Source organism: Homo sapiens, chromosome 1 (genome assembly GCF_000001405.40).
Source record: "Homo sapiens chromosome 1, GRCh38.p14 Primary Assembly".
NCBI classification, from domain to species: Eukaryota; Metazoa; Chordata; class Mammalia; order Primates; family Hominidae; genus Homo; species Homo sapiens.
In genome coordinates, this window is record NC_000001.11 from 145989552 (window position 1) to 146008345 (window position 18794).

General features: G+C 44.7%; 1 protein-coding gene across 2 annotated transcripts, besides 3 other annotated features; it reads right to left on the minus strand.

The window, feature by feature from the left end:
• Positions 1 to 2883: 2883 nt before the first annotated feature.
• On the minus strand, positions 2884 to 7028 carry TXNIP (thioredoxin interacting protein). 2 transcript variants are annotated; one of them, NM_006472.6, is made up of 8 exons: positions 6466 to 7028; positions 5853 to 5925; positions 5593 to 5740; positions 5378 to 5480; positions 4993 to 5249; positions 4730 to 4886; positions 4465 to 4616; positions 2884 to 4335 (listed from the first exon to the last, which is right to left on the minus strand). In NM_006472.6, exons 1-8 carry the CDS (start codon positions 6713 to 6715, stop codon positions 4300 to 4302), a joined length of 1176 nt encoding a protein of 391 aa, NP_006463.3. In that variant the 5' UTR covers positions 6716 to 7028; the 3' UTR covers positions 2884 to 4299. The 2 variants fall into 2 exon arrangements, with proteins under 2 accessions (NP_006463.3, NP_001300901.1); NM_001313972.2 differs by lacking the exon at positions 6466 to 7028 and having other exon boundaries at positions 5853 to 6193.
• Positions 3157 to 3236: an enhancer, noted in NCBI's record as "active region_1627". NCBI's record gives its function as "activates an Ori minimal core promoter by ATAC-STARR-seq in GM12878 lymphoblastoid cells {active_cell/tissue: GM12878}" and the evidence as "EXISTENCE:reporter gene assay evidence [ECO:0000049][PMID:35858748]".
• Positions 5058 to 5107: an enhancer, noted in NCBI's record as "active region_1628". NCBI's record gives its function as "activates an Ori minimal core promoter by ATAC-STARR-seq in GM12878 lymphoblastoid cells {active_cell/tissue: GM12878}" and the evidence as "EXISTENCE:reporter gene assay evidence [ECO:0000049][PMID:35858748]".
• Positions 12679 to 12886: a silencer, noted in NCBI's record as "fragment chr1:145432616-145432823 (GRCh37/hg19 assembly coordinates)". NCBI's record gives its function as "represses an EF-1alpha promoter that drives an FKBP-Casp9 reporter gene in an ReSE screen in HepG2 liver carcinoma cells and K562 erythroleukemia cells {active_cell/tissue: HepG2 | K562}" and the evidence as "EXISTENCE:reporter gene assay evidence [ECO:0000049][PMID:32094911]".

Below are 18794 nucleotides of genomic sequence, written 5' to 3' on the forward strand. Positions count from 1 at the left end.
GGCAAAACTTCATCTCTATGAAAAATACAAAAATTAGTCGGGCTTGGTGCCATGCACCTGTAGTTCCAGCTACTAGGGGGCTGAGATGGGAAATCACTTGACCCTGAGAGGTGGAGGCTGCAGTGAGCAGAGATCATGCCACTGCACTCCAGCCTGGGAGACAGAGCAAGACCCTGTTTAAAAAAAAAAAAAAAATGTGTGCACAGCACTTTGGGAGGCTGAAGTGGGCAGATTGCTTGAGCCTAGGAGTTCAAGACCAGCCTGGGCAACATGGTGAAACCCTGTCTCTACAAAAAATAGAAAAAATTAGCTGGGCATGGTGGCATGTGCCTGTAGTTCTAGCTACTTGGGAGGCTGAGGTGGGAGAATCACCTGAGCTTGGGAGGTCAAAACTGCAGTGAGCCAAGATTGTGCCACTGCACTCCAGCCTGGGAGACAGAATGAGACCCTATCTAAAAAAAAAAAAAAAAAGATAAGAAAAAAAATCAGTTTATCAGTCATAGTAGCCACATTTCAGGGCTAGTGGCTACTGTATTGAAAATTTCCATCATCATAGAAAGTTCTATTTGGACAGCTGGATAAAGGATATTAAGGGTATCCGGAGGAGATGCCCATGTTCTGGCCCTTCCAGGATCAGATCTCTTTTTTTTTTTGGAGACAGTCTTGCTCTGTCGCCCAGGCTGGAGTGCAGTGGTGCAGTCTGGGCTCACTGCAACCTCCACCTCCTGGGTTCAAGTGATTCTCCTTCCTCAGCCTCCCGAGTAGCTGCAATTACAGGCGTAAGCCACCGCGCCTGGCCCTAGGATCAGATCTCTAAGAGGCCTTGGGTATAAAGTTATCTATCCTTTCGAAGCCATCCCTCTTCTCATATTGGGTACTGGTAGCCCAACTGTGCACACAACCAGGCTCATGTACTCCATGGTCTCTCCATTCCTTTGTCCTGCTCTCTGGCCTGCTCTTATCATTGCTTCACCCCTCTAGGCCCTGGAAAACAAGCTACAGAAAAAACTTTTCCATCAACTTTGACCTAATTTCCTGGTCACAGATTTGAAGGAGAGGAGCCACTAAATTCTTGCACAGGTGAGAAAGGGGCGGAGAGTTCAGGTGAAAGTCACCCTGGCAATAGGGAGAAATAGAGACTGACACTTTGGTAATGAAAGAGAGACAAAGAGAGGGAGGAGAGTGCTATGGAAAATGAAAGATAAACGAAAAATGAGGATTGAAATGGAAAAGGATCTTTTAAATCTCACTTTCTGTTAAATTCACATTGATTTTAGTTTGCTTATTATTTATTTATTTTTGAGACAAAATCTGTCCCCCAGGCTGGAGTGCAAGTGGTGCAATCATAGCTCACTGTAACCTAGAACTTCTGGGCTTGAATGATCCTCTTGCCTCAGCCTTGTGAGTAGCTAGAGCTACAACACCCCACACTGATTTCATGTAGAATTTCCAGGAGCCTGTTATTTGGAATTAGTTTGTGGAAGTCCTCAGAAAAATCAATTCCCAAATAAGGACCAGGACCAGATCTGTGCAAATATTTAAATTGGCCATCCCAGGGTTTCTCCACCTGTCGGTTCTTTAGGAATGAAAATCACTGCTGGGCGCCATGGCTCACACCTGTAATCCCAGCACTTTAGGAGGCTGAGGCGGGTGAATCACGGGAAGTCAGGAGTTCGAGACCAGCCTGGCCAACATGGTGAAACCCCGTCTCTACTAAAAATACAAAAATTAGCTGAGTGTGGTGGCTCATGCCTGTAATCCCAACTACTCAAGAGTCTGAGGTAGCAGAATCGCTTGAACCTGGGAGGCGGACATTGTATTAAGCCAAGATTGGGCCACTGCACTCTAGCCTGGGAGACAGAGCAAGACTCTATCTCAAAAAAAAGAAAGAAAGAAAGAAAGAAAGAAAATCACACCAATTAAACATGGGATTGTGGTATTACTCTACTACTATTACCCTACAAGGAATAGGAACCATCAAATCATCTAAGGGATGAGGGTGAAGTTGAATAGTTAGCAAACATTTACTGAGTTATGTGCTTGGTTAGGAACTGTGAAAATAAAAAATGGTTAGCTGCCTCCAAAGAATTTAATACTCATAACTCTATAACCTCTTAAGTCCTGAAGTTATCCTTGTTAGTATATAAATCAAGTTTACATTGGGAAGAAACCCTATGATAAAACCATATTGTAAAAAGGGGATCTTCAGCTGAGTGTGGTGTCTCACGCCTGTATTCCCAACTCTTTGGGAGGCCAGGGCCAGCAGATCACTTGAGCCCAGAAGTTTGAGGCCAACCTGGACAACATGGCAAAACCCGAACTCTACAAATAATCAAAAAATTAGCTGAGCGTAGAAAAAACAAACACATACACACACACACACGCACACACAATTAACTGAACGTAGTTGTGTATGCCTGTAGCCCAGCTATGTGGGAGGCGGAGATGGGAAGATCACTTGAGCCCAGGAAATCAAGGCTGCAGTGAGCTAAGATCATACTACACTCCAGCCTGGGTGAGTGAGACTGTCTCAAAAAAAGGAACCGCCACTCTTTTCTTTCAAATGCCCTCATAAACATCATCTCCCTGTATTTCAAGAACCCATGAACTCCAAAACTGAAGGAATTTAGTAATGATTACCTATGGATTTGGAAAACTAGTTTAGACAACCGGAAAATCCCAGTATAGTTGTTCAGTGAATCTGAAACATGCCTCAAACGGTTTCCCTCTTCACCTTCTAGCCCCCACTCTGCCGACATTCCTTAGGGTCCATAGGGAGTGTTTTCTCCACAAGGTTTTCATTAGTGTGGATTGTTAAGTAGAGGAAAACTCCTTTAGACACACCTTCTTTCCAAAAACTTTTCCAAAGCCATCTCACAGACATTTTTTTTTCCATTAAAAAAACTTTATTTTCATTTTTTACAAAGAATATCCCCATCTGGGGTAAAAATATATCTGGTTAAGTACAAAATATAGTCTTTACCATACAAAAAGATACATAATACAAAAACATGAAACCAACCATCTTCAGCCCACACTTTCTGGCTGTAATAACTCTCAGAAAAGGGTGGAGCTCAGTGCTCTGACACAGGACAGTGAACAAAGTGCTATGGCTGAGAGTGACTGACCAAGTGCTGGCAGCTGCAGTGAGGGGCCAATATCCCTATCTCCTAACACAGGGCAGGAAGGGGGTTCAAAGGGCTTTTATGAAGACCTGCCCTCTAGTTTCTCATGGCAGTATTTGGAGGTTCTGATCACAGGGTTGGGCATCTTGATCAAGAGTTCCTCCTTGGGTTTGAAGTCACAGTGGGCAAGGCTGACAGCAGCAACCCTTTCACATGATTTAAGCGTTAGAATTATATAATTCTGTACATTGGGGCAATCTCAAAAGTAGTAAAATTTTTTTTGTCTTTTGGCTTAACCCTAGAGACACAGTAGACCAGTTTCAGCTTACATTTAAGATGGCAGAAGGGGAGAACAAAAAATTTGACAGGAATTAAAGTGCTAAGAACATCACCTTAGAATCAATTCCAAGGACTTACATGAAGAGAAAACCATCCTCCCATATGAAAATATTTGCAGTAGGAGAACACAGTGCAATAGGCTCCAAAAATGGCTTTTAAGACCTTTGGTGGGGCAGTTACTACTGCTTTAAAAGCCAGGTTAAAGTATACTCTAAGCAAAGATGACCGTAGAGCAGCTAGCTTCCTTTTTTATAATCACAGGGAAAGCTCTCTCCATTGTCCATCAAATCAGCTCTAGAAGGTTTTTCTTTTTTTTCTACAAGTGCACAAAGGGGAAACACTGATTTTAAGAACCTCCTTTTCCCAAAGTTTTGGCCACAATTTCCCTTTTCATCTTCCTAGTTTGTTAAATTGGCTCTTCTCCACATGATACGTAAGTTCAAGGTCCAAAGTTCCTATCACAATTTACAAAAAGCCTCCAAAAAACCTTGAAAAGCTTACGCCAGGAGGCCATTTTTACCTGACCCGAAACTATCGAAAAGGCCTCAATTTTCAAGGAGATCTGAGAAAATGGATGGGCCTGAGTTTTTCTAGTTATTTTTAAACCCATCCAACAAACACCCCTGTATCACAACATGGGCGCTGGCTGAGGATGAGTCCGCATCCTTTAAGGCCCAGGAGATTGCCTGCTGACCACCTCCTACATTAGGAAGTCAGAGGCTAAGGTGGACCCACACTCCATTGCAGAGACTGTTGAGTCTCTGAAAAAGTGAGTGTCCAGGAAGAGAGACAAAAAGAAACAAGTAGGTAAAGCTGCTTCTTTTCTTCCACATGCTCACTGCACATTGTTGTTGAGGATGCAGGGATCCACCTAAAGAAAGAAACAGACTATTTCAGTTCAGGTAAGAACAAAAAGAACAAACCAGTTTAGCAATCCGTCTAAGTCAACTTCTTATAGAAAGCTTAGGACAAATTTAACAGTAAAGATGACAATCCTCACCTCAGTATAAGTCGGTGGTGGCATGAACTTGAACTCAGGGGCATACATAAAGATAGGGCTGTCTTGAGAGCCATCCATGTCATCTAGCAGAGGAGTGGTTGGGCTCTCCAATCGGTGATCTTCAGGAATGACATCCATATAGCAGGGAGGAGCTAGAAAAGAAAATATGGCCACATAAGAATCCTGCCCAAGAAATGCTGGACCATCACAATTTTACAAACCCAGGTAGACCAGAAACAAAGAAAAGACATTAGGTCTGGCTCACCTTCTGGGGTATCAGGGATGTTCAGATCTACCCAACTCATCTCAGAGCTGGTTCGGCTGGCCATGCTGGATGTTCTGCTGCTTAGACCTGATCTGCTGCCAATTACCAGGGGCAGGTCAAGGATGACCTTCTTGGATCCAGGAACGCTAACATAGATCTAGAAAGGAAGATGGCAGTTTATTACACCAGAGGTCTGGAGAAACAAGACAGCTGTGGTAACAGATGAACAATTTCTCTGCTGAAGCCACCCTGCATCTACCCACCAGTAAGGAATATTCAACTCGAAGGATGTTGCAGCCCAGGATAGAAGGCCTGATCTTCTGAACCCGAAGGCTCTTGCCACGCCATGATGCGCATGTCCCTGAGATAATATGATTGCCTCTGACTGATGACAACTTCTGAGTCAGCACCTTGGTCTGGCCATTGGCAAGGTAAGTGTGGCGGGCCACAATGGCAGCTTTGGGGACCACAATTCGGGAACATGTATTCTCAAAGTCAGCATGGATGGAAATCTCATCACCTAGCAATGAGAAAGATGAAAACTTACTGATACTCAGTATAGTTAATGACACTTCCTCTACCCCAGTCCCATGCCCTTGCCCCTAAACCCAGTTCCTGTTTTAACTGCCATAAGCACTAGGATTTTACCTTCACAGAATCCTTTTCTGTCAATTCGAGCAGAGACAGACACCCGCCCATCAGGAATGAACATGCAGGAAACTTTCTTTTCTTTTTTAGCAGACACAGGTGCCTATATAGAAGGGGATAAAAAGGTGTTTTGAGATGCTTCAATCTAATGCCCAAGACGTCTGATTTATCATCCTCATGACCCAGGAGAATAGAATCTTTAAAATGGATCTCACCATTAAATCAGGGGTATTGACATCCACCAGATCCACTACTTCAAAGTTTTTCTTTGTCTCTTGAGTTGGCTGGCTCGGGCGGTCAAGAAAAGCCTTCACCCAGTAGTCTACACACCCATATTTTCCTTTGAAGGATGTTCCCAGAGGCCTGTGTCAAGAAAATGAAAATTTTAAAACGCTCTCCAAGAACAGTAAGTGATCAAAGGAGGGCAAGATATTTTAGACAGAAAAGTTCAAAGATGCATTTAGCTGATATTTACCCCTGAGGAAGCTCAAAGCCGAACTTGTACTCATATTTGTTTCCAGGTCTCATGATCACCATCTCATTCTCACCTGAAGGGAAAGAAAATCGAGTAGCCATTAGGCTTGCTGTTACACTTAAAATGCATCTGTGTGATAAGGAATGCTTGGGTGGCATGCAAGGTATTGAAGTACCCCCAATTTCATCCCATATATATATTTTTTAATCCATCCCATATTGTTCTTAAAGAGAAATTCTGATGTATTTTGTCGGGCAGCAAGTTGCCAAGCCCTGCAATACTGAAAGATTCACCCAGGACAGTTCTCTACTAACATCTCAAATAGGAAGTAGACAAAGAATAAGCAACTTATGCACACATAAGACTTTAACTACCCGAGGCAACGCCCCTCAGGATCCCCTTTAGGACACAGCACCATAAAAAATTGTACAAATCACCCTTTTTTTTGGGGGGGGAGGAGAATGTCTGCAAATTAAAACAGAAAAAAGGAAGCAACAACACGTAATTCAAACCACTCAAACTGAGCAACTTAAAACATTTCGTACAGGTTTTGTGTATTCAATTCTCTTCTCTAATCAGCTTTCACCCTCCAACAATGAATTGGGCCGCTTACCTGTTGGCTGGTCTTCCAGAAGAAGCGTGTCTTCATAGCGCAGGTACTCCGAAGTCTGTTTGCACTGCTGGGATCCCTGCATCCAAAGCACTTTAGCCACTCCGCAAGCCAGGATCCTAACGGCTTTGACACGAGTAACTTCACACACCTCCACTATCACCCGGCCAGCCACCTTCTCGCCACTGCCGTACACCTTTTCAGGGTCGTTAAAGACCACCTCAAAAGACTTGATCTTCTTGAACATCACCATGATGGAACTGAGTTGGTTTTAAGAGTTAGAAATGACGGTGGAAGAAAAAAAAAGCTCCAAATCGAGGAAACCCCTTTGCAAAAAATTATTTCACTTTAAGGAATTAAGGTATTCTTAAGCAGTTTGAGCTTAAAAATAAAATAAGATTTAAACAAATGAATATTAACTACTAGGTTTTCGAAAAGGCGCCTAAAAAATATACGCCGCTGGTTACACTAAGCTAATTCAGAGAAAAAGCCTTCTTTCCCCCAATTGCTGGAGAAAAGATCCGATCTCCACAAGCACTCCTTTGGAGAAAAAGAGGGGTTAGTTTCAAGCAGGAGGCGGAAACGTCTCTATATAGTAGCCCGGGCCAGAAGAGCCACGCGAGCGCTGGCCCGGAGGCTCGTGCTGCCCTCGTGCACATCCCTCCCATTGGCTGCCCGGTCCTTGTTTACCAGGAGCCCGACCAATCAGTGAGATCGCTGTGGCGCGTGGACACGGTGTGCTCCTGGCTGGGAAAATGGTTGTTGCGCTCTGGAGCGGCGCAGGGAGGGGGGAAGGAGAGGAAGGAGAGGAAGGAGGGGAAGGAGGGGGCTGTTGAGCGTCTTCTCCCGGGTCCAGTGGAAGGAGGATCCCACTGACCCTAAAACCTAGCCAGGGCGACAGGCCATCGGAGGGCGGGTGTGGACGTTTCTGGTCTGAGAGCGGTGTTTTGAGGTAAAAGGAAAATGTGCTTATGAGGGAATTTCATGCCTAGTCTTAGCCAGTGCAGTTACTTTAGAGCCTGTCGTTATTCCTGGCTCATAAATAGCAAGTGTGTGAAAATCCCATAGCTCCAAGAATACTTTCAGGTTTGGGGCTGTGGAGCGCAGAATGCTTGGTGTTACTGTTCAGGAACAGCCCTTTGTCCTTCTCTTGCCCCGCATCCCTATTAAGTATAAAAAACACCACCGTCTCTGAGGGAAAGGAGAACTTTCAGGCCTCATTGTGTGTGTAGGACCGATGTCTTCTCCTTCCCGTTCCAATCCCTTGGGGCTAGGGCTGGGGGCTGCGTGCCTGTGCTGTTCGTCACCCACCCCCAGCTTGTACCCTCTCTTCTGTTCTCTCTGTTCTGTGGAACGGAAATAGGAGGGGCGTGTTTACATCCTGTTGCTTATCCTGTCATCTCTTCAATTTCTACCTGCAAAGTTGGGGAACACTTTGTCTGTGTTCCCCATTTACCTCATTACCTCTTTAGTGAGGTGTGTCCAGGCGCTCATTATCTCCCACTTCCTACCTGCTTCTGGAGGAAAAGGAAAAGCGGGAAAAAAAGGATGCTTCACTCTTTTCACTTTTTTCCAGTTATGTTCACTCTTTCTTGTCTCCATCCCCTCTTCCAACTCACTAAATCAAATGTACATCCATAAATCTGGTTAAAAGTGAGAAAGTCCTCTTGTTTATATCCAAATTTTCAGTGGAGAGATGGCCACACACCTGTTTGAAGGAACAATTTTAAAAACTATTTTCAAAGGTTTTTCCCTAAACGGTTTAGAAAACAGTAAGAAGGAAAAGAGAAGAAAGATCGGTCAACAGAGCACTATAAATTCAAGCCAGAAGAGACCCTACCCTCTCTCTTCATTCTTTGTTGGTTTCGTTTGGCCAGCTGTCAGATGGATTTTCCCCTGCTGGCTGTGAGATGCTTTAGGAGCTGAGTACTGAGAACTTACTCTTAAATGTAATAGGAAAAACCTGTATGCAAAAGTGCAGGGATTCTTCCTCCTTTTATTTGATTCATAGACCCTTCCTATATCTGTGCTGGGGTATCAGAAGATTATTATTTAATTCCTTGTGCTGGAAAGAGGAAGATAATGTCCCAAGATTGAGATGGGGAGGTAATTAAGAAGCATTCAAGTATATTGAAACCCTACCCAATCAGCAAAAAAAAAACAATATTCATTGCTGTTAAAGAGCCTTCTTCCTTCCTCAGACAGCCTAGCTGGATTGACACTCTAAGGCTAACGAGAGTTACAACTCAACCCCAATATTAAGCAAGCTCAAGAATAGGCATCATGAGTCTCTTCGAAAACACACACATGCATTAAACCCCAGGAACATGTTGATCCTTAGGGTGTGTTTGAGGCGGCACCCTGTTCTAGAAACTTAACCAGCTAGGCTTGAGGTGTTTTCAGTTGGTTAACAATATTGATTGAGTTACTGGGAGCAGAGGAGGTGGAACTCTGACTGAAGTAATTTTTTTTTTAAGGTGGAATCTTGCTCTGTTGCCTAGGCTGGAGTGCAGTGGCCTGACCCCAGCTCACTGCAACCTCTGCCTCCTGGGTTAGAGCGATTCTCCGCCTCAGCCTCCTGAGTACCTGGCATTACAGGCATGCATCACCACGCCCAGCTAATTTTTGTATTTTTAGTAGAGATGGGGTTTCACCATGTTGCCCAAGATGGTCTTGAACTCCTCCTGACCTCAGGTGATCCACCCGCCTTGGCCTCCCAAAGTGCTGGGATTACAGGCGTGAGCCACCGTGCCTGGCCTGACTGAAGTAATTTTAAAAGTTCAAAATTGTGGCTTCTGGGAGAACGTTTAGTTTGATGGGTATGAAAGTGTAACTATCAAACATCAAAATGCTGACAAATATATGAATCAATATTGTTAACTACATAGTCAATATTGTTAAATATTGTTAAATCTTAACTACATACATTTTGAGGGAATAGGAAAGATGGTGGCTAGTGATGGATCAGGGTGGTGGTAATATGGGACATCTTAAGACATCCAACTCTCAACCAGGTTGGAATGCAGTGTCACTTGGCTCACTGAAACCTCCACATCCCAGGCTCAAGTGATTCTCCCACCTCAGCCTCCCGAGTAGCCGGGACTACAGATGTGCTCCACCACGCCTAGGTAATTTTTGTATTTTTGGTAGAGATGGGGTTTCACCATGTTGGCCAGGCTGGTCTCAAACTCCTGCTCAAGCAGTCCGCCTACCTGGCCTCCCAAAGTGCTGGGATTATAGGCACCCTTTTCCCTTTCAATTTATTTGATATTTATGTGGGCACATCTCTGAAGTACTGAATTGCTGAGTTTTAAAAAATCCTATGACAATTCTCTCGTTCTAAGTTTCTCTTCTGGGCTCTGGTTTCCTTGTATCTTCCCATTTGCAGAGCTCACTACAGACTACGTTGCTCTGTGTTATGCCTGGGTTCCTTTAAATGCCAAAAAATTATTTAGCTTTGGCAGCAGCTGCTGCCTACCAGGCCTGTAGCCAAGGCATGTTCTGAAGTGGAGTCCTCCTGGACACGGTTGTTTACGACCTTTCACCTTGTAACCTGGTATTCTGATAAAAACCTGCCCCGATTCTCCTTTCCCAGTTCTTGGGTCTAAGAAGAAAGAAATTTTGTAAACTCTTGTCCTAAAATCAGGGTATAAAAACACTTGTGAGGTTTGGGAAAAGGGGTGGGCCAAGGAGGAACAGCAAAGTAGGGCACAGTCAAAGAGTTTTGCAAGTTGGATCATCTTTATCTGCCCCTTCTCTACCCTCTTCAGTCCCAGTGCCAACAGGAAACCAAGTGGTGATTGTTGTTTGTTTGCTTTACTGCAGGTGACAGAATAAAGCCAGCAGTTTCAGGGAGGGAAGTGCCCTCAGCACTTTGTTGCCAGTCAGAGACAAGACACTGATTGCATTTCTCTTTTCTTTAACCTCTGGCCTGACAAACATTTAGAACATGAAGACTCATAGTTCTTAATGCAGAACAAAGCCCTTTCTTGGTCCTTTTAATCACTTCTCTCACCTCTACTCTGTAAACTTCCCTTTTACCCTTACCCATTTTCCTTTCTCTCTCTCTTTTTTTTTCCACATAGGGTCTCACTCTCAACCAGGTTGGAATGCAGTGTCACTTGGCTCACTGAAACCTCCGCATCCCAGGCTCAAGTGATTCTCCCACCTCAGCCTCCCGAGTAGCTGGGACTACAGATGTGCTCCACCACGCCTAGGTAATTTTTGTATTTTTGGTAGAGATGGGGTTTCACCATGTTGGCCAGGCTGGTCTCAAACTCCTGCTCAAGCAGTCCGCCTACCTCGGCCTCCCAAAGTGCTGGGATTATAGGCACCCTTTTCCCTTTCAATTTTTTCCCTAAGGAATTTAGAGGCAAATTAAGAGTTTGAAGACTGCCCCAAGTCATAGATCAATAAGAATAAATTAACAATTGTAAGCCAGGTGTGGTGGCTCATGCCTGTAATCCCAGCACTTTGGGAGGCTGAAATGGGAAGATCACTTGAGGCCAGGAATTCAAGAAGATCACCCTGGGCATTGTAGTGAGACCCCATCTCTCTTTAAAAAAAAAAAAAAAGGCTGGGCGCGGTGGCTCACGCCTGTAATCCCAGCACTTTGGGAGGCTGAGGCAGGCAAATCACGAGGTCAGGAGATTGAGACCATCCTGGCTAACACAGTGAAACCCCGTCTCTACTAAAAATACAAAAAATTAGCCGGGTGTGGTGGCAGGCGCCTATAGTCCCAGCTACTCGGGAGGCTGAGGCAGGAGAATGGCGTGAACCTGGGAGGTGGAGCTTGCAGTGAGCCGAGATCTCGCCACTGCACTCCAGCCTGGGCGACAAAGTGAGACTCCATCTCAAAAAAAAAAAAAGAATTGTATAGCATGTTAGAGTTCCAAGTGACTTTTTAAGTAATTGCCATTTATTGAGCACCTATAATGAACCAAGTCTTTTATATAATTATGTCAGTGATAATTATCTGTCATCTGTCATGTTGTTCTAGAAAGTATTTGAGGTTGGCCGGGCGCGGTGGCTCACGCTTGTAATCCCAGCACTTTGGGAGGCCGAGGCGGGCGGATCACGAGGTCAGGAGATCGAGACCATCCTGGCTAACACGGTGAAACCCCGTCTCTACTAAAAATACAAAAAAAATTAGCCGGGCGTGATGGTGGGCGCCTGTAGTTCCAGTTACTCGGGAGGCTGAGGCAGGAGAATGGCGTGAACCCGGGAGGCGGAGTTTGCAGTGAGCCGAGATTGCGCCACTGCACTCCCGCCTGGGCGACAGAGCGAGACTCCGTCTCAAAAAAAAAAAAAAAGAAAGTATTTGAGGTTAGATTGTTTCATTTAATTCTCTCAATAACCTTGTGACTCGGTGTTGGTTCAGTCAGGCTCAGAAGTGAAGTAATTTGCCTGAGGTCACAGATTTTGTAAGTAGAGCAAGATCTTGAACCCGCCCATGTCTGTCTAAAAGTATGTACTATAAAAATGTGTTGTCTTGGCTCTCAGTGCTTTGATACACAGTATCTTGTTTGATTCTCACAATAGTCTAATAAAGGATTCAGGGCAAGACTCAGAGAATTTTAGAGTTAAATGGGACTGTAGCAGTCTTTTATTTTTTTAAAACCAGTTCTTATTTTGGTTAAGTGACTTGACCTGGGACATAAGCTAGTATCTGGTGGAGCCACTCTCCAAACCCAGGATTCTCTTTATTATCTATTTGTTTATTTTGTTGTTGCCCAGACTGGAGTACAGTGGCACAAGCATAGCTCAGTAGCGGGAACTACTAGGAACACACACCATACTCAGCTAATTTTTTTTTTTGAGAAAGGGTCTTACTTCATCACCAGGCTGGAGTGCAGTGACATGACCATGTCTCACTGTAACCTCAACCTCCAGGGCTGAGGTGATCCTTCCACCTTGGCCTCTTGAGTCAGCTGGGACTACAGGCACATGCCGGGCTAATTTTCATATATTTTGGTAGAGATGGAGTCTTGCCATGTTGCCTGGGCTGGTCTGGAACACCTGGGCTCAAGCTATCCACCCACCTTGGCCTCCCAAAGTGCTGGAATTATAGATATGAGCCACCATGTCCAATCTTGTTTGTTAATTTAGTTTTAACTTTTAAAAATATCTCATCTGGAGGCCCACATTTCGTGTTTACTGAGATCAATTTTTCTACCATGATAAGCAAAGGATAGAGATCTCAGTATTGTCCAATGTCATGGCAAGATGGGGAGAGGGGCTGAATTAACTTGTTTGGAGGTATTGTAGGCTCATTTAAGATAGTTCTTTTTGGCTGGGCGTGGTGGCTCACGCCTGTAATCCCAGCATTTTGGGAGGTCGAGGCAGGCAGATCAACTGAGGTCAGGAGTTTGAGACCAGCCTGACCAACAAGGAGTAACCCCGTCTCTACTAATAATACAAAATTAGCCAGGTGTGGTGGCGCATGCCTGTAATCCCAGTTACTCAGGAGGCTGAGGCAAGAGAATAGCTTGAACCTGGGAGGTGGAGGTTGCAGTGAGTCAAGATTGCACTCCAGCCTGGGCAACAAGAGCAAAACTCCGTCTACAAAAAAAAAACCTAAAAAAGTTTTTTTTCTTTTCTGAAGGCCCTTACAATAACTTCCTAAAGGTAGTTCTTTTTCTTTTCTTTTTTTTGTAATTAGCTTTATTTACTTATCTATTTACTTTTGAGACAAGGTCTTACTCTGTCACCCAGGCTGGAGTGCGGTGGCGTGATCTCGGCTCGCTGCAACCTCCACCTCCCAGGTTCAAGTGATTCACCTGTCTCAGCCTCCCTAGTAGCTGGGATTATAGGCACCCACCACCATGCCCAGCTAATTTTTTGTATTTTTAGTAGAGGTGGGGTTTCACCTTTTTGGCCAGGCTGGTCTTGAACTTCTGACCTCAGGTGATCCACCTGCCTTGGCCTCCCAAAATGCTGGGATTACAGGTTTGAGCCACCATGCCCAGCTTTATCTATTTATTTTTTATATAGAGTCTCACTCAGGCTGGAGTGCAATGGCACGATCTTGGCTCACTGCAACCTCTGCCTCCCAGGTTCAAACGATTCTCCTCTGCCTCCAGAGTAGTTGGGATTACAGGCATTGGCCAGGCTGGTCTTGAACGCCTGACCTCAAGTGATCCACCCACCTTGGCCTCCCAAAGTGCTGGGATTACAGGCGTGAGCCACTGTGCTGGGCCATAGTTCTTAAAGTTGCCTTTATATGTGATAAAAATATCTTATTTCCCTTCTCATGTTATTACAGTATTTTTTTTTTGAGACAGTCTCAGTCTGTCACCCAGGCTGGAGTGCAGTGGCTCGATCTCGGCTCACTGCAGCCTCCGCCTCCTGGGTTTAAGCGATTCTTCTGCCTCAGCCTCCCGAGTAGCTGGGTTTACAGGTGCCCATCACCAAGCCCGACTAATTTTTGTATTTTTAGTAGAGATGGGGTTTCACCATGTTGGCCAAGCCGGTCTCGAACTCCTAGCCTTAAATGATCCACCCACTTTGGCCTCCCAAAGTGTTGAGATTACAGTCGTGAGCCACTGTGCCCAGGCGGTATTCTTCTTTTACTGTCAAATTTCTTAAGAGAATAATCTGTATCAGCTTTTTCTGTGGACTGAACTTGTCCCTTTGTAGTCTGCCTTCTGGTCTCTCTGAAACTATTTTCTTCAAGGTCTCCAGCGGAAATTGGAGTAGTTTTTCTTTTCTTTTCCTTTTTTTTGAAATGGAGTCTTGCTCTGTCACCCAGGCTGGAGTGCATTGGTGCGATCTTGGCTCACTGCAACCTCTGCCTCCTGGGTTCATGCAATTCTCCTGCCTCAGCCTCCCAAGTAGCTGGGATTACAGACATGTGCTACCACGCCCAGCTAATTTTTGATTTTTAATAGATACCGGGTTTCGTCATGTTGGTCAGGCTCGTCTTAAGCTCCTTACCTCAAGTGATCCGCCCACCTCGACCTCCCGAAGTGCTGGGATTACAGGCATGAGCCACCATACCTGGCAAAATCAACGTAGGGTGTTTTTTTTTTTTGAGACAGGGTCTCACTCTGTTGCCCAGGCTGGAGCGCAATGGCGCGATCTTGGCTCACTGCAACTTCCGCCTCCTGGCTTCAAGCAATTCTCCTGCCTCAGCTTCCTGAGTAGCTGGGATTACAGGCACGTGCCACCACGCCCGGCTAATTTTTGTATTTTCAGTAGAGATGGGGTTTCACCATGCTGGCCAGGCTGGTCTGGAACTCCTGACCTCAGGCGATCCACCTGCCTTGGCCTCCCAGAGTGCTGGAATTACAGGCATTAGCCACTGCGCCCGGCCAGTCAGAGTACTTTTTATAGGCTTTATTCCTTTTGACTTCTATATGATTTGGAAACTGCCATGTTTTAAAATTTTAAACACTTAAATCTTGACTTTTGGACTTCATCCTTTTCTCCTTTGCTAACAATTCTTTTTTTTTCTACTCCCTGAAAATTCTTCTTAAGGGCTTGTCCTGGGCCCTCTCCTTTTCTTTCTTGAAGTTTCACTTTTCAGTTTGACTGTCTGTACATCACTCTGTGTAAATGACTTTAAATCTATGCTATACCTTTAGCCTGTCTCCAAAGTTCCAGCTGTTATCTCAAATTCAGCTTGTCTAGTAATGAATTCATAATCTTTCCCTGGTGGTCAAACCCATTTCTTTGCCTTGTTTTTTTTTTTGAGACGGAGTTTCGCTCTTGTTGCCCAGGTTGGAGTGCAATGGCGTGATCTCAGCTCACCGCAACCTCCACCTCCCAGGTTCAAGCAATTCTCCTGCCTCAGCCTCCCAAGTAGCTGGGATTACAGGCATGCAGCACCACGCCCGGCTAATTTTGTATTTTTAGTAGAGACTGGGTTTCTCCATGTTGAGGCTGGTTTCAAACTCCTGACCTAGGTGATCCGCCCGCCTCGGCCTCCCAAAGTGCTGGGATTACAGGCGTGAGCCACCGCGCCCGGCCTTTTTTTTTCCCCTCTTTTTCTTTCTTTCTTTTTGAGACAAGGTCTCGCTCTGTCACACAGGTTGGATTGCACTGGTGGGATCAGGGATCATAGCATACTGCAATCTTGAACTCCCGCTCTCAAGGGATCCTCCTGCCTCAGCCTCCCAAGTAGCTAGGACCACAGGCATATGCCACCATGCCCAGCTAATTCTTTAATTTTTGGTACAGATGGGATCTCATTTTGTTGCCTAGGCTGGTCTCAAACTCCTGGGCTCAAGGGATCATTCCACCTTGGCCTCCCAAAGTGCTAGTATCATAGATATGAGCCACTGCCTCCAGCCCCCTTGTTTGTTTTAATAGAACCATTATATATTCCCCAAGTTATAAAGGCTTAAAATCCAGGGATTGCCTTTAATTCCTTCCTCTCTGTCATGCCCCACATCCAGTCAACTGCTGAATTCTATAGAGCCATCTTTCTAGTGTTTCTAGCACCTGTCTCCTGTTTCTTATTCTACTGCCACCATTCTGGTTCATGTTTTTGTTACTTTTGCCTAGATTACTTTAATAGATTTTAACTGATTTTCCTGCTGTAATCTATAGAACATCACTAGATTAATCTCACAGAATTGAGTTCCTGTGTGTTCCTATAATAATGCAAAATGTATTGCTTACTGAATCACGTTTAAATGCTTCAACCTGGCATTTAAGCCTTCACGAAATGTCCTCAACCAAATTTTCTCATTCATTTCCCACTATTTCCTCATACATGTACCCTATGCTTCAGCCAAAACTGAGCACTCAGTGTTCCCTTAATATATCCTTCTCTGTCTTTATGTCCCTGCTTACATTTTTCCTTGTACCTAGTGTGCCTGTCCTTCCCCATCTCTGCTTTTTGAAATTTTACCCACTCTTCTGTAGACAGCCAAATAATTTTTCCTCTATTAAACCTTTCTTGGCTGGGCGCAGTGGCTCACGCCTGTAATCCCAGCACTTTGAGAGGCCGAGGTGGGTGGATCACCTGAGGTCAGGAGTTTGAGACCAGCCTGGCCAACACGGTGAAACCCCATCTCTACTAAAAATACAAAAATTAGCAGGACATGGTTGGCAGGTGCCTGTAATCCCAGCTACTCGGGAGGCTGAAGCAGGAGAATTGCTTGAACCCCGGAGGTGGAGGTTGCAGTGAGCTGAGATCATGCTGCTGCACTCCAGCCTGGGTGACAGGGTGAGACTCTATCTCAAAGCAACAAAGCAAAACCAAAAACATTTCTTGCTTCCCAATCCCCTCAACTTTTTTTTTTTTTTTAGATAGAGTCTCACTCTGTTACCCAGGCTGGAGTACAGTGGTGCTATCATGGCTCACTGTAGCCTCGATCTCCCAGGTTCAAACAATCCTCCCACCTCAGCCTCCCGAGTAGCTGGGACTACAGGGGCATGCAACCACACCCGGCTAACTTAAAAAAGAAAGAAAAGAAAAAAAAACTTGTAGAGACAGGGTTTCACCATGTAGCCTAGGCTGGTCTTGAACTCCTGAGCTCAAGCGATCCACCCGCCTCAGCTTCTCAAAGTGCTGGGATTATAGGTATGAGCCACCATGCCCAGCCAATCCCCTCATCTTTTACCTTACAATCAAATATTTTTTCATTCTCTTTGGAATACTCCATAGCACATTCATATTTCTTACATAGCACTAACACGTAAAGTGCCTTTTCTCTCCTAAATTCCTAGAGAATAGAAACTCTGCCCTTTTTTATCTTTGTATTCTTCCTAGCATCTATTAGAGTACACTTCACAGAATAAATGTATTATTAAATATAAATTGAGGCCAGGTGCAGTGGCTCACGCCTGTAATCCCAGCATTTTGGGAGGCTGAGGCAGGCGGATCACTTGAGCTCACAACTTCGAGACCAGCCTGGGCAACATGGGGAAACCCTGTCTCTACTAAAAATAAAAAAAATTAGCTGTGTGTGATGGTGCACGCCTGTAGTCCCAGCTCCTCGGAAGGCTGAGGTGGGAGGATGGCTTGAATTGCCATGTCAAAAAAAAAAAAAAAAAAAAAATATATATATATATATATATATACACACACACACACACACACACACACACAGACACACACATACATATAGAGATAGATTGATTGAATTGATAGATTGGGTTATGTCTCTGGATAGAATATACCAGTAATTCAGATCCTAGTATTATTTCTTATTACTATTAGACTTGACACCTCAACCTCAGTTTCTTATGCTAAACTGTATCATATTTGTCCCTCCTCAAAGCCTGTGGCCCAAATATGTATCAGAGCAGGGACGGTAAGGAGGCGAGAGGTGGTGGTTTGTTTTTCTGTGAGAAGAAAATTGGACTGCGTTGGTGTTTATAAGTATGAGGGAGATGGGACATTGTGTGCTCAACCCAACTTCCCCTTTTCTGAGAAATTATTTCTTACACAATTCAGAAATACAGTTGACTCAGCTCTGCCACCTAGTGGGCAGTTTAATATACTGTCAAAATTCTTAGTCCAAGAATTGTCTCAAACAAATAAAAGCTTTTCTGAGAGCCAAAACAGCCCAGATCACTCCCCTGAGTGGCAAAGATGATTTTTGATTATGAGAAGGAACAAATGAAGGAAATGTGGTGTTCATGACTGAGGGAAAGAAATTCTACATTAAAACAAGTTTCTATTTTTTTATCCAGACTGACAATTAATAATACTTTCTTTTCTAAGAAAAAATTTTAAAACATTTATTTATTTTTCTAGATCCATCAATGCCTTTTGAAAAAATGAATTAATTTTTTTAAGAGATGGGCCTCTCTCTTGCCCAGGCTGGAGTGCTGTCGTGCGATCAGTTCACTGCAGTCTCTGACTCTTGGGCTCAAGCAACCCTCGGCCTCAGCCTCCTGAGGAACTGGGACTACCACCATGCCTAGTTAATTTTAAGTTTTTTGTAGATATGGGGGTCTTGCTATGTTGCCCAGTCTGGTCTCTAACTCTTGGGCTCTAGTGATCCTCCTACCTCGACCTTCCAAAGTGTTGGGATGACAGGCATGAGCCACTGTGCCAGATCAGTACTTTCTTTTTTTTGAGATGGAGTTTTGCTCTTGTCGTCCAGGCTGGAGTGCAATGGGGCGATCTCGGCTCACCGCAACCTCCACCTCCCAGGTTCAAGCGATTCTCCTGCCTCAGCCTCCCAAGTAGCTGGGATTACAGGCATGCGCCGCCACGCCTGGCTTATTTTGTATTTTTAGTAGAGACAGGGTTTCTCCATGTTGGTCAGGCTGGTCTTGAACTCCTGACCTCGGGTGATCTGCCCACCTTGGCCTCCCAAAGTGCTGGGATTACAGGTGTGAGCCACCATGCCCGGCCAGTACTTTCTTTGTTA

Excerpts from the sequence above, each read along its gene's own strand:
- TXNIP (NM_006472.6), bottom strand. The coding sequence starts at position 6,715 with ATGGTGATGTTCAAGAAGATCAAGTCTTTTGAGGTGGTCTTTAACGAC. Across the intron at positions 5,926-6,465 it reads TCTGGAAGACCAGCCAACAG|GTGAGAATGAGATGGTGATC; the intron begins GTAAGCGGCCCA and ends CTTTCCCTTCAG. Across the intron at positions 4,887-4,992 it reads GAGTTGAATATTCCTTACTG|ATCTATGTTAGCGTTCCTGG; the intron begins GTGGGTAGATGC and ends CTTCCTTTCTAG.